Genomic DNA, 12944 nt, shown 5'->3' with positions numbered 1-12944 from the left:
ATACAGGATTCAAAAAAAATATTTTTGATGTTGGAGAAATACTTCTGTCTCAAAAGTCTAAGAAAGTTGTTTAATATTTTTCAATTAGGGAGGAATCCAGAAACTGCCCTAATGAAACTCCTAACATACACACAAGAAGGAAGACAGGGCTGCTTCACAAAGGCAGCACCAAAAACAGCCGCCTGAAGCAAGGAGTGGGGATCAGCTTCTGTTGATAAAAATGTACCCACAGCCAAGGCTGCTACCGGAGATAGGAGCATGTTGCCCTTTATCTAGTGTGCAAATCAGGCACAACTAAGTGACAAGGAAGAAAGCTAGTGTGTTCCTGGTGCGTGGTGGAGCAGGTACTGAGGAGTTCTGTGTCAACATAAAGAAGAGCAAGAAAGAGGAGAGGTAGGAAATAAGGGAAAGAAAAAGCATGAAGGGGAGCCGGGCATGGTGGCTCACGCCTGTAATCCCAGCACTTTGAGAGGCTGAGGCGGGCGGATCATTTGAGGTCAGGAGGTTGAGACCAGCTTGGCCAACGTGGTGAAACCATATTTTCTCTACTAAAAATACAAAAAATTAGCTGGGCGTGATGGTGCACATCTGTAATCCCAGCACTAGAGAGGCTGAGGCAGGAGAATATCCTGAACCAGGGAGACGGAGGTTGCAGTGAGCTGATATCATGCCACTGCATTCCAGCCTGGGCAACAGAGTGAGACTACCTCTCAAAAAAAAAAAAAAAAAAAAAGCAAGAAAGGGAAGAGAGAGACAGAATAGATAGATGGAGATGGATGGAGAAGCAGACAGAGAGAAGATAAATATATCCATGTAATCAATGTGCTCCTAAAATCTCTTTAACTCTGACAGTTACCTTACTTATGAAATAGAGACAAGACCCCAGTAATAAAGGATTGATATTTACCTTCTGAATCTTTGTTGTAGAAAACGCCATGTGGATGCAGAGAGTAAGGTCGAGAAGCAAAGTTCTTTAAATGAATGACAATCACATCACCCACTTCGGCCCTCAAGATGGGGCCCAGGAATCCAAGCCAGGGAGGTTTGGGGATCTCTATGGAGTAGGTTCCATCCGTGAAGCGTCTGTAAACAGCCTTTTTGTAAATACTGCCTATCCTGTTGGGCCCTCTTTCGAGAAATAAGGTTGCAAGTCTAAAAGTAAGAAGAAAAACATTTTTAATTGAAATGAAAAGAGAAGACCTAATAGCTTACCACTAGGAGTTTATAAAGTATTGCATGTATGACCTCTCATTTGGTGTTCACTATAAGCTGCAACCTCTGTAGGGCTCGGAAGATTATCCTCAATTTACTAATGTGGAAATGAGATTCAGCAATGAAGTGGCAAGCCAAAGGGCACAAGCAGTATTCACAATCAAACTAAAACAAATCCAAAGAACTCTAAAGCCACACTACAAATTTGCCCCTTTCCACTCAACATGTTCCCCTTTGCTTTTTCATTTAACTAACACTCATTGCACATTTACTGCATTCTCAGCCTGTGACTAGATGGTGTACAAAAGTTTGTAATCAAATAATGGGCTTAGATAATTAAGTGTCAAGTGAATGATTGATACAACAGATACAGGCTCAACATTTCTAGGAACGTAATAGTTCAGGGAGGCCAGGCATAGTGGTCCACACCTGTAATCCCAGCAATGGGAGGCCAAGGCAGGCAGATCTCTTGAGCCTAGGAGTTTGAGACCAGCCTGGGCAACATAGTGAGACCCTGTTTCTGCAAACAAACAAACAAAAAAGCCGAGCATGGTGGTGGGCCGCCTGTAGTCCTAGCTACCTGATATGCTGAGGCAGGAGGATCACTCAAGCCTGGGAAATCAAGGCTGCAGTGAGCCATGATCATGCCAGCCTGGGTGACAGATCAAGATTCCGTCTTAAAAAAAATAGCCAGGCATAGTGGCTCATGCCTGTAATCCCACTTTGGGAGGCTAAGGTGGGAGGATCACTTGAGCCTGGGAAGTTAAGGCTCTGGTGAGCCAAGATCGCACCACTGCACTCTAGCCTGGATGACAGAGCAAGATCCTGTCTCAAAAAAAAAAAAAAAAAGGTTTGGAGAATGAAAAGATTGCTGTGGTTACAAGAGGTCAGACAATTGCAAGAATTAAGGAGAAGTAGGATTGGATAACAAAAGGGAAAAGTGAGGACACTAAGTGGGACAACTGATGTACAGTGAGGAGGAAGCAGTGCAGATGGAATGGGAAGTGCAGGTTATAGGCTGGTGCACAGGTCTAGGAAGTGAGGAGTGAGAGATAAGGATGCAGGTAAGTTCCGGAGATAGACTGACAAGTTTAATTCCGGGTTGGAGAATTTAAAATTTATCTTGGAAGCACTGAGACTCACTGAGGTTTTTCACAAAATGGGTGACATAATAATCATGTGTTCAAGGACCCTTCTATGGCAGTGGTGTGCAAGTTTTAAAGGAGTTGAGGAAAAGGCAGAGCAAAGTTGAGGGGCAGAGACACTGTTATGAGACCAGAAGTGGGTGGTGCAATAGAAGAAAAGGGGTGGACATGAGAAAAACAGAATTCTAAGACTTGAGATGACCAGATGCCTTCCTGGGGACCTAGACGTAGGGCAGACTCAGTCCCTGGTGTCTGGAAGCCTGAAACAATAGCACCACTTGGGAGGTGCCTGACAATCTTCTCCTGGAGAGGTGAAGCCCCCTTCCCCATTCTCGGTCTATTTGCTTGGCTTGGAGCTCCCATCCTAGCTCCAGCTCCATAAATACTGGCTTCTGCTTGAGCAAAAGCTCCACCACTCCTGGGTGCAGCCATCCCAATGTAGCTGTGTCCCTTTTGGGGGTAAGAGGCCACATCTTACTCTGAGACACACTCCTGCAAGTGTCCGTGCATTTATTCTCTCTCAGTTATCCAACAAATATTAATTATACCAAGCCCTGCCATCAGTACCAGGGATATGGAGGAAAAAAGACAAAGCCCCTGCCTTGAAGGAGCCCCTATTCTGGAAGGGAGAGTTATGAGAACACACATTATGTTCTGGGGCATCTAATCTGGAGTCAAAGATAAGTCAGGGGAAGTTTCCTTAAGGAAGTAATGCTTCAGTATACTCTCGAACAATGAAGAGTTACTCAAGAAAAAAAAAATAGAAAAAGTTGATGTAGAAGACATTTTTAAGTTTTGGCAACTCGGCACACACACTCCACTCTTTGAGGAGTGAGGAGTGTGCCCAGAGTGGGAGAGCACACCTGTCCCACTCTCATTCTCTGTGCTTCGGATGGGGTTCCATCCCCCAGCCCCACTAATGGAGCAAGTGCCTCAGCCTAGCCTATAAGCACGCCAAATTTCTCTAATAAGCTGTTGTTAGGGCAGGACTTGTGATCCAGACCTGGCCAATTGATATCATTCATCCCCCAGCCAGCCTACCCTGGGCCACCATGATTAGTTCAGGGACAGCCACAGAGTGTCTCGTTGGTTAAATCTGAGAAAATCCAGGGACTTGTGAAGGATCTCTTTCTTGTGTACTTGGGACTGGTACATGAGTCTGGAGCTTCAGGTAACCACAGGAGGAAGTCTGTCTGAGAGTTGTTTGTTCCTCTAATCTCTTAAATTTGGCTATTGACTTTTTCCCCTCTAATCAACTCCTACTTGTTTTCATCATCGTAAGACTATTTCTTTTCATTTTTTCTGTTTTTATTTTATTGTACTTTCTATTCTTTTACTCAGTTCCAAGAATTCAATCATTCATATAATTTATTTAAAAAATGTGTTAAGCACGTGTCAGGTATCATGGAGCACTTCTCTGTTCTACTTTTCTGTGGCCCTAATAATTTTTTCTGTTTTTCTTTTCTTTCCCAATCCTTTCCAAAGGAAACCTATCCCAGCCTTTCCCAAAGGAATTAATGTCTAACAGAGTATTCAATCCACCCACTCTGGGCCAGAATGAGCAATTCATGCAGTTTTTTTTTTTTTTTTTTATTATACTTTAAGTTTTAGGGTACATGTGCACAATGTGCAGGTTAGTTACATATGTATACATGTGCCATGCTGGTGCGCTGCACCCACTAACTCGTCATCTAGCATTAGGTATATCTCCCAATGCTATCCCTACCCCCTCCCCCCACCCCACCACAGTCCCCAAAGTGTGATATTCCCCTTCCTGTGTCCATGTGATCTCATTGTTCAATTCCCACCTATGAGTGAGAATATGCGGTGTTTGATTTTTTGTTCTCGCGATAGTTTACTGAGAATGATGGTTTCCAATTTCATCCATGTCCCTACAAAGGACATGAACTCATCATTTTGTATGGCTGCATAGTATTCCATGGTGTATATGTGCCACATTTTCTTAATCCAGTCTATCATTGTTGGACATTTGGGTTGGTTCCAAGTCTTTGCTATTGTGAATAATGCCGCAATAAACATATGTGTGCATGTGTCTTTATAGCAGCATGATTTATAGTCCTTTGGGTATATACCCAGTAATGGGATGGCTGGGTCAAATGGTATTTCTAGTTCTAGATCACTGAGGAATCGCCACACTGACTTCCACAATGGTTGAACTAGTTTACAGTCCCACCAACAGTGTAAAAGTGTTCCTATTTCTCCACATCCTCTCCAGCACCTGTTGTTTCCTGACTTTTTAATGATTGCCATTCTAACTGGTGTGAGATGATATCTCATAGTGGTTTTGATTTGCATTTCTCTGATGGCCAGTGATGATGAGCATTTTTTCATGTGTTTTTTGGCTGCATAAATGTCTTCTTTTGAGAAGTGTCTGTTCATGTCCTTCGCCCACTTTTTGATGGGGTTGTTTGTTTTTTTCTTGTAAATTTGTTTGAGTTCATTGTAGATTCTGGATATTAGCCCTTTGTCAGATGAGTAGGTTGCGAAAATTTTCTCCCATGTTGTAGGTTGCCTATTCACTCTGATGGTAGTTTCTTTTGCTGTGCAGAAGCTCTTTAGTTTAATTAGATCCCATTTGTCAATTTTGGCTTTTGTTGCCATTGCTTTTGGTGTTTTGGACATGAAGTCCTTGCCCACGCCTATGTCCTGAATGGTAATGCCTAGGTTTTCTTCTAGGGTTTTTATGGTTTTAGGTCTAACGTTTAAATCTTTAATCCATCTTGAATTGATTTTTGTATAAGGTGTAAGGAAGGGATCCAGTTTCAGCTTTCTACATATGGCTATCCAGTTTTCCCAGCACCATTTATTAAATAGGGAATCCTTTCCCCATTGCTTGTTTTTCTCAGGTTTGTCAAAGATCAGATAGTTGTAGGTATGTGGCGTTATTTCTGAGGGCTCTGTTCTGTTCCATTGATCTATATCTCTGTTTTGGTACCAGTACCATGCTGTTTTGGTTACTGTAGCCTTGTAGTATAGTTTGAAGGCAGGTAGTGTGATGCCTCCAGCTTTGTTCTTTTGGCTTAGGATTGACTTGGCGATGCGGGCTCTTTTTTGGTTCCATATGAACTTTAAAGTAGTTTTTTCCAATTCTGTGAAGAAAGTCATTGGTAGCTTGATGGGGACGGCATTGAATCTGTAAATTACCTTGGGCAGTATGGCCATTTTCACGATATTGATTCTTCCTACCCATGAGCATGGAATGTTCTTCCATTTGTTTGTATCCTCTTTTATTTCCTTGAGCAGTGGCTTGTAGTTCTCCTTGAAGAGGTCCTTCACATCCCTTGTAAGTTGGATTCCTAGGTATTTTATTCTCTTTGAAGCAATTGTGAATGGGAGTTCACTCATGATTTGGCTCTCTGTTTGTCTGTTGTTGGTCTATAAGAATGCTTGTGATTTTTGTACATTGATTTTGTATCCTGAGAGTTTGCTGAAGTTGCTTATCAGCTTAAGGAGATTTTGGGCTGAGACGATGGGGTTTTCTAGATAAACAATCATGTTGTCTGCAAACAGGGACAATTTGACTTCCTCTTTTCCTAATTGAATACCCTTTATTTCCTTCTCCTGCCTGATTGCCCTGGCCAGAACTTCCAACACTATGTTGAATAGGAGCGGTGAGAGAGGGCATCCCTGTCTTGTGCCAGTTTTCAAAGGGAATGCTTCCAGTTTTTGCCCATTCAGTATGATATTGGCTGTGGGTCTGTCATAGATAGCTCTTATTATTTTGAAATACGTCCCATCAATACCTAATTTATTGAGAGTTTTTAGCATGAAGGGTTGTTGAATTTTGTCAAAGGCTTTTTCTGCATCTATTGAGATAATCATGTGGTTTTTGTCTTTGGCTCTGTTTATATGCTGGATTACATTTATTGATTTGCATATATTGAACCAGCCTTGCATCCCAGGGATGAAGCCCACTTGATCATGGTGGATAAGCTTTTTGATGTGCTGCTGGATTCGGTTTGCCAGTATTTTATTGAGGATTTTTGCATCAATGTTCATCAAGGATATTGGTCTAAAATTCTCTTTTTTGGTTGTGTCCCTGCCCGGCTTTGGTATCAGAATGATGCTGGCCTCATAAAATGAGTTAGGGAGGATTCCCTCTTTTTCTATTGATTGGAATAGTTTCAGAAGGAATGGTACCAGTTCCTCCTTGTACCTCTGGTAGAATTCGGCTGTGAATCCATCTGGTCCTGGACTCTTTTTGGTTGGTAAACTATTGATTATTGCCACAATTTCAGCTCCTGTTATTGGTCTATTCAGAGATTCAACTTCTTCCTGGTTTAATCTTGGGAGAGTGTATGTGTCGAGGAATGTATCCATTTCTTCTAGATTTTCTAGTTTATTTGCGTAGAGGTGTTTGTAGTATTCTCTGATGGTAGTTTGTATTTCTGTGGGATCGGTGGTGATATCCCCTTTATCATTTTTTATTGTGTCTATTTGATTCTTCTCTCTTTTTTTCTTTATTAGTCTTGCTAGTGGTCTATCAATTTTGTTGATCCTTTCAAAAAACCAGCTCCTGGATTCATTAATTCTTTGAAGGGTTTTTTGTGTCTCTATTTCCTTCAGTTCTGCTCTGATTTTAGTTATTTCTTGCCTTCTGCTAGCTTTTGAATGTGTTTGCTCTTGCTTTTCTAGTTCTTTTAATTGTGATGTTAGGGTGTCAATTTTGGATCTTTCCTGCTTTCTCTTGTGGGCATTTAGTGCTCTAAATTTCCCTCTACACACTGCTTTGAATGTGTCCCAGAGATTCTGGTATGTTGTGTCTTTGTTCTCGTTGGTTTCAAAGAACATCTTTATTTCTGCCTTCATTTCGTTATGTACCCAGTTGTCATTCAGGAGCAGGTTGTTCAGTTTCCATGTAGTTGAGCGGCTTTGAGTGAGATTCTTAATCCTGAGTTGTAGTTTGATTGCACTGTGGTCTGAGAGATAGTTTGTTATAATTTCTGTTCTTTTACATTTGCTGAGGAGAGCTTTACTTCCAACTATGTGGTCAATTTTGGAATAGGTGTGGTGTGGTGCTGAAAAAAATGTATATTCTGTTGATTTGGGGTGGAGAGTTCTGTAGATGTCAATTAGATCTGCTTGGTGCAGAGCTGAGTTCAATTCCTGGGTATCCTTGTTGACTTTCTGTCTCGTTGATCTGTCTAATGTTGACAGTGAGGTGTTAAAGTCTCCCATTATTAATGTGTGGGAGTCTAAGTCTCTTTGTAGGTCACTCAGGACTTGCTTTATGAATCTGGGTGCTCCTGTATTGGGTGCATATATATTTAGGATAGTTAGCTCCTCTTGTTGAATTGATCCCTTTACCATTATGTAATGGCCTTCTTTGTCTCTTTTGATCTTTGTTGGTTTAAAGTCTGTTTTATCAGAGACTAGGATTGCAACCCCTGCCTTTTTTTGTTTTCCATTTGCTTGGTAGATCTTCCTCCATCCTTTTATTTTGAGCCTATGTATGTCTCTGCACGTGAGATGGGTTTCCTGAATACAGCACACTGATGGGTCTTGACTCTTTATCCAACTTGCCAGTCTGTGTCTTTTAATTGGAGAATTTAGTCCATTTACATTTAAAGTTAATATTGTTATGTGTGAATTTGATCCTGTCATTATGATGTTAGCTGGTTATTTTGCTCGTTAGTTGATGCAGTTTCTTCCTAGTCTCGATTGTCTTTACATTTTGGCATGATTTTGCAGCGGCTGGTACCGGTTGTTCCTTTCCATGTTTAGCGCTTCCTTCAGGAGCTCTTTTAGGGCAGGCCTGGTGGTGACAAAATCTCTCAGCATTTGCTTGTCTGTAAAGGATTTTATTTCTCCTTCACTTATGAAGCTTAGTTTGGCTGGATATGAAATTCTGGGTTGAAAATTCTTTTCTTTAAGAATGTTGAATATTGGCCCCCACTCTCTTCTGGCTTGTAGGGTTTCTGCCGAGAGATCTGCTGTTAGTCTGATGGGCTTCCCTTTGAGGGTAACCCGACCTTTCTCTCTGGCTGCCCTTAACATTTTTTCCTTCATTTCAACTTTGGTGAATCTGACAATTATGTGTCTTGGAGTTGCTCTTCTCGAGGAGTATCTTTGTGGCGTTCTCTGTATTTCCTGAATCTGAACGTTGGCCTGCCTTGCTAGGTTGGGGAAGTTCTCCTGGATAATATCCTGCAGAGTGTTTTCCAACTTGGTTCCATTCTCCCCATCACTTTCAGGTACACCAATCGGACGTAAATTTGGTCTTTTCACATAGTCCCATATTTCTTGGAGGCTTTGCTCATTTCTTTTTATTCTTTTTTCTCTAAACTTCCCTTCTCACTTCATTTCATTCATTTCATCTTCCATTGCTGATACCCTTTCTTCCAGTCGATCGCATCGGCTCCTGAGGCTTCTGCATTCTTCACATAGTTCTCGAGCCTTGGTTTTCAGCTCCATCAGCTCCTTTAAGCACTTCTCTGTATTGGTTATTCTAGTTATACATTCTTCTAAATTTTTTTCAAAGTTTTCAACTTCTTTGCCTTTGGTTTGAATGTCCTCCCGTAGCTCAGAGTAATTTGATCGTCTGAAGCCTTCTTCTGTCAGCTCGGCAAAATCATTCTCCATCCAGCTTTGTTCCGTTGCTGGTGAGGAACTGCGTTCCTTTGGAGGAGGAGAGGCGCTCTGCGTTTTAGAGTTTCCAGTTTTTCTGTTCTGTTTTTTCCCCATCTTTGTGGTTTTATCTACTTTTCGTCTTTGATGATGGTGATGTACAGATGGGTATTCGGTGTGGATGTCCTTTCTGTTTGTTATTTTTCCTTCTAACAGACAGGACCCTCAGCTGCAGGTCTGTTGGAATACCCTGCTGTGTGAGGTGTCAGTATGCCCCTGTTGGGGGGGTGCCTCCCAGTTAGGCTGCTTGGGGGTCAGGGGTCAGGGACCCACTTGAGGAGGCAGTCTGCCCGTTCTCAGATCTCCAGCTGCATGCTGGGAGAACCACTGCTCTCTTCAAAGCTGTCAGACAGGGACATTTAAGTCTGCAGAGGTTACTGCTGTCTTTTTGTTTGTCTGTGCCCTGCCCCCAGAGGTGGAGCCTACAGAGGCAGGCAGGCCTCCTTGAGCTGTGGTGGGCTCCACCCAGTTCAAGCTTTCTGGCTGCTTTGTTTACCTAAGCAAGCCTGGGCAATGGCGGGCGCCCCTCCCCCAGCCTCGCTGCCGCCTTGCAGTTTGATCTCAGACTGCTGTGCTAGCAATCAGCGAGACTCCGTGGGCGTAGGACCCTCTGAGCCAGGTGCGGGATATAATCTCGTGGTGCGCCGTTTTTTAAGCCGGTCTGAAAAGCGCAATATTCGGGTGGGAGTGACCCGATTTTCCAGGTGCGTCCGTCACCCCTTTCTTTGACTCGGAAAGGGAACTCCCTGACCCCTTGCGCTTCCCAGGTGAGGCAATGCCTTGCCCTGCTTCGGCTCGTGCACGGTGCGCGCACCCACTGGCCTGCGCCCACTGTCTGGCACTCCCTAGTGAGATGAACCCTGTACCTCAGATGGAAATGCAGAAATCACCCGTCTTCTGTGTCGCTCACGCTGGGAGCTGTAGACCAGAGCTGTTCCTATTCGGCCATCTTGGCTCCTCCCTTTTTTTTTTTTTTTTTTTGAGACGGAGTCTTGCTCTGTTGCCCAGGCTGGAGTGCAATGGCACGATCTAGGCTCACTGCAACCTCCGCCTTCCGGGTTCACACCGTTCTCCTGCCTCAGCCTCCAGACTAGCTGGGACTACAGGCGCCTGCCACCACGCCGGGCTAATTTTTTGTATTTTGTTTAGTAGAGATGGGGTTTCACCATGTTAGCCAGGATGGTCTCAATCTCCTGACCTCCAATTCATGCAGTTTTGTTCATTCCAGATCCACAGTGAGTGTCAGGGTAATTCTAAGATGGGTAGACCAGTTGGATCTAGAAGACTCTAGAAGCTCTGTTCTATGGCATTGGAGCCTGAAAAGTTGTGAGATGACTCAAGTCTCAAAAATTCCTCTAGAGTGTCCTGCACCAACTCTTCCCATCCCTCACCCCTCTCAGCATAGGGCACAGCGATCCTCTTTGATTCTTCTCTCCCTTCTCCAAGTCAGAATCCTAGGCAGATACCTTGGTCAGGCACCCTTGTCTAGTCCCAAGCCCCAGCCTCAGACATCAGCAGGTGGAGCTATAAACTCATAGACCCTTGGGGTTCAGCCTTTAACTGTACCTCATTTGAATTCCTATTCTGTCCAGAGACAGACCCAGGGACAGTGCTCCTTCTGAGGTGGACATATTTCCTGGACCAGAATATATAAAGTTTCTACTCATGTATGACTGTGTCACCCTAATGAAATACGCCCTTAAGGGCTTCCATGAACTTCAGGCATTTCAGTGGTGGTATAAAAGGAAAGTAATAAATAAAATTAAATTTAAAAGAGACTTTCAGGCTGGGCGCGTTGGCTCACGCCTGTAATCCCAGCACTTTGGGAGGCCGAGGCGGGCGGATCACGAGGTCAGGAGATCGAGACCATCCTGGCTAACACGGTGAAACCCCGTCTCTACTAAAAATACAAAAAATTAGCCGGGCGTGGTAACGGGCGCCTGTAGTCCCAGCTACTCAGGAGGCTGAGTCAGGAGAATGGCGTGAACCCAGGAGGCGGAGCTTGCAGTGAGCCGAGATCGCGCCACTGCACTCCAGCCTGGGTGACAGAGTGAGACTCCGTCTCAAAAAATAAAATAAAATAAAAGAGACTTTCATGACCACTCTGGAGGGGGACCAACAGGAAGCCTCTGCCTGCCTTTGTCATAGGCTCTGGCTGCCCCTATCACCCCGCATGACCCCTTTAAGAACTCTCCCAGGATATACCTAATGTAAATGACGAGTTAATGGGTGCAGCACACCAACATGGCACATGTATACATGTGTAACAAACCTGCACGTTGTGCACATGAACCCTAGAACTTAAAGTATAATAAAAGATTTTTTAAAAAAAGGAACTCTCCCAGAAGATCCCACAGGCATCGCCTCTGTTTCAGTCTTGGGTAAGCTTGAAAGCCATTCTGCTGACTTCCAACAAGTACAGATTAAGGATTTATAGCATGCAAAGTACTGGGCTAGATGTTGTTTTGAGTACAATAATAAAAAAGGTACAATCTCTAAATAAGTACGTTTGTAGTCAAGAGGAAGGAACAAAGCCATTGTTACCTGCACAAAGGAAACTGCTAAGAATTGTAGGAAAAGAACGTGTTATGGGAATTTAGGACAGAGGGAGAGACACCTCAATACCTTACTCAAATAGAAGGAAGAGCTTGAGAAAGGTATCCAGGTGAGAGAATTAGAGGTCAGTTCAGGAAATCACAGGCAGCTTTATAGGACCAGAAAATTTGATAAGAGTGAAACTGTGGAGAAATTTGAGTGCTTGGCTAAGGCATTTAGATGTAATTGTATCTTCAACTAAGAGCCACTGAAGATTCTTAAACAGATGTATTTGACCAGATCTGTGTCTAGGGAAGACAATTTTGGAAGGATCCTATATCTGATTCCTTTTCATCATACCTGCCCACATGATTTTTCTCATCTGCTTCTGCTCACTGGATCAAGCCCCTTCCTTACCTTCCACCTCTGAATACTGAGTCATTACAACTGTATGCTCACCAGGGCTCTGTTTAACTTCATGCCTGATTTGGGGGATGTTATTCCTTGGTATCGGATTCAGCTGGCCCTCCTACTCCCAGTGGCCCAGGGTGGCATCTGCTTGCCTGTCTAGTCTGGGACTTTCTTTGTGAAGTTTTATTATCTTTCTTTACTTAAATGTCATCTTTTCTGCATTGCTCTCCCTTCTTTCTGACAAGGGGCAGACCTGCTGACAAATAGGGTTTACAGCCACATTCCTTTGTTGATGGAGTCACACCAGGTCTGATAGCCTTTGTATTAAATAATGAATCTTTGTTAGCTTCATTAAGGTTGGGAAAAACACTATAGATCAAAAAGATAAAGAGATATTTTCAGGGCTTCATCTTCATTTCCTCAAAGAGATGATCACATTAGTATACAGTGACTCAGGCACTCCTACTTCAAAGCAGCTCCTACTTCAAAGCTCCTAAGCAGTCTTAATAATAAATGGTGGCTTTGCCCACCCTGCAGACTTTTCAGGATGATGGAGCTAGAGATCAACATATTGAGCAGCCTGGAATCCATCCCGCATGGAGCAGAAGATGGGAACCACCTTAGAAGGTAGAAGAATCACTTAGGCAGATGGAGGAAAGGACATCTGAGTCAAGCTGGGAAGAAGGATCCACAGGTTCAAATCAAAGCAGAAAAAGTCCTCTTTGAAGCAACAGCTTTTCTCTCCAACCTCATTTCCTCCCTCTTTGCCCCAACTCCCAGGTCCCCATGCTTCTGCCAGATCAGACACTCTCTTCTTGGTACACACCATGTCCTTTCAGCATTTTAAGACTTCAGCACATTCTTTTTCCTGGGCCTCAGTGGTCTTCCTCATTCTCTACCTGCCAAGCACCCTTTGAGGTAGACTCACACTCTTCCTCTTTTCCTCCTCTCTACATACACAGTGCTCTGTTCATGTGCTAATAATGGTACTCA

General features: G+C 43.5%; 1 protein-coding gene across 1 annotated transcript in view; it reads right to left on the bottom strand.

Moving 5' to 3' along the window:
- The window catches only part of HEPHL1 (hephaestin like 1), a 92855-nt gene that overhangs the window by 67384 nt on the left and 12527 nt on the right, over positions 1–12944 (bottom strand). The window contains exon 2 of the mRNA NM_001098672.2: positions 908–1152. Coding sequence (NP_001092142.1) covers positions 908–1152 — 245 coding nt within the window. The remainder of the gene's footprint in view (positions 1–907; positions 1153–12944) is intronic.

Source organism: Homo sapiens, chromosome 11, assembly GCF_000001405.40.
Source record: "Homo sapiens chromosome 11, GRCh38.p14 Primary Assembly".
NCBI classification, from domain to species: Eukaryota; Metazoa; Chordata; class Mammalia; order Primates; family Hominidae; genus Homo; species Homo sapiens.
This window is presented reverse-complemented; position numbering and strand designations above follow the sequence as displayed.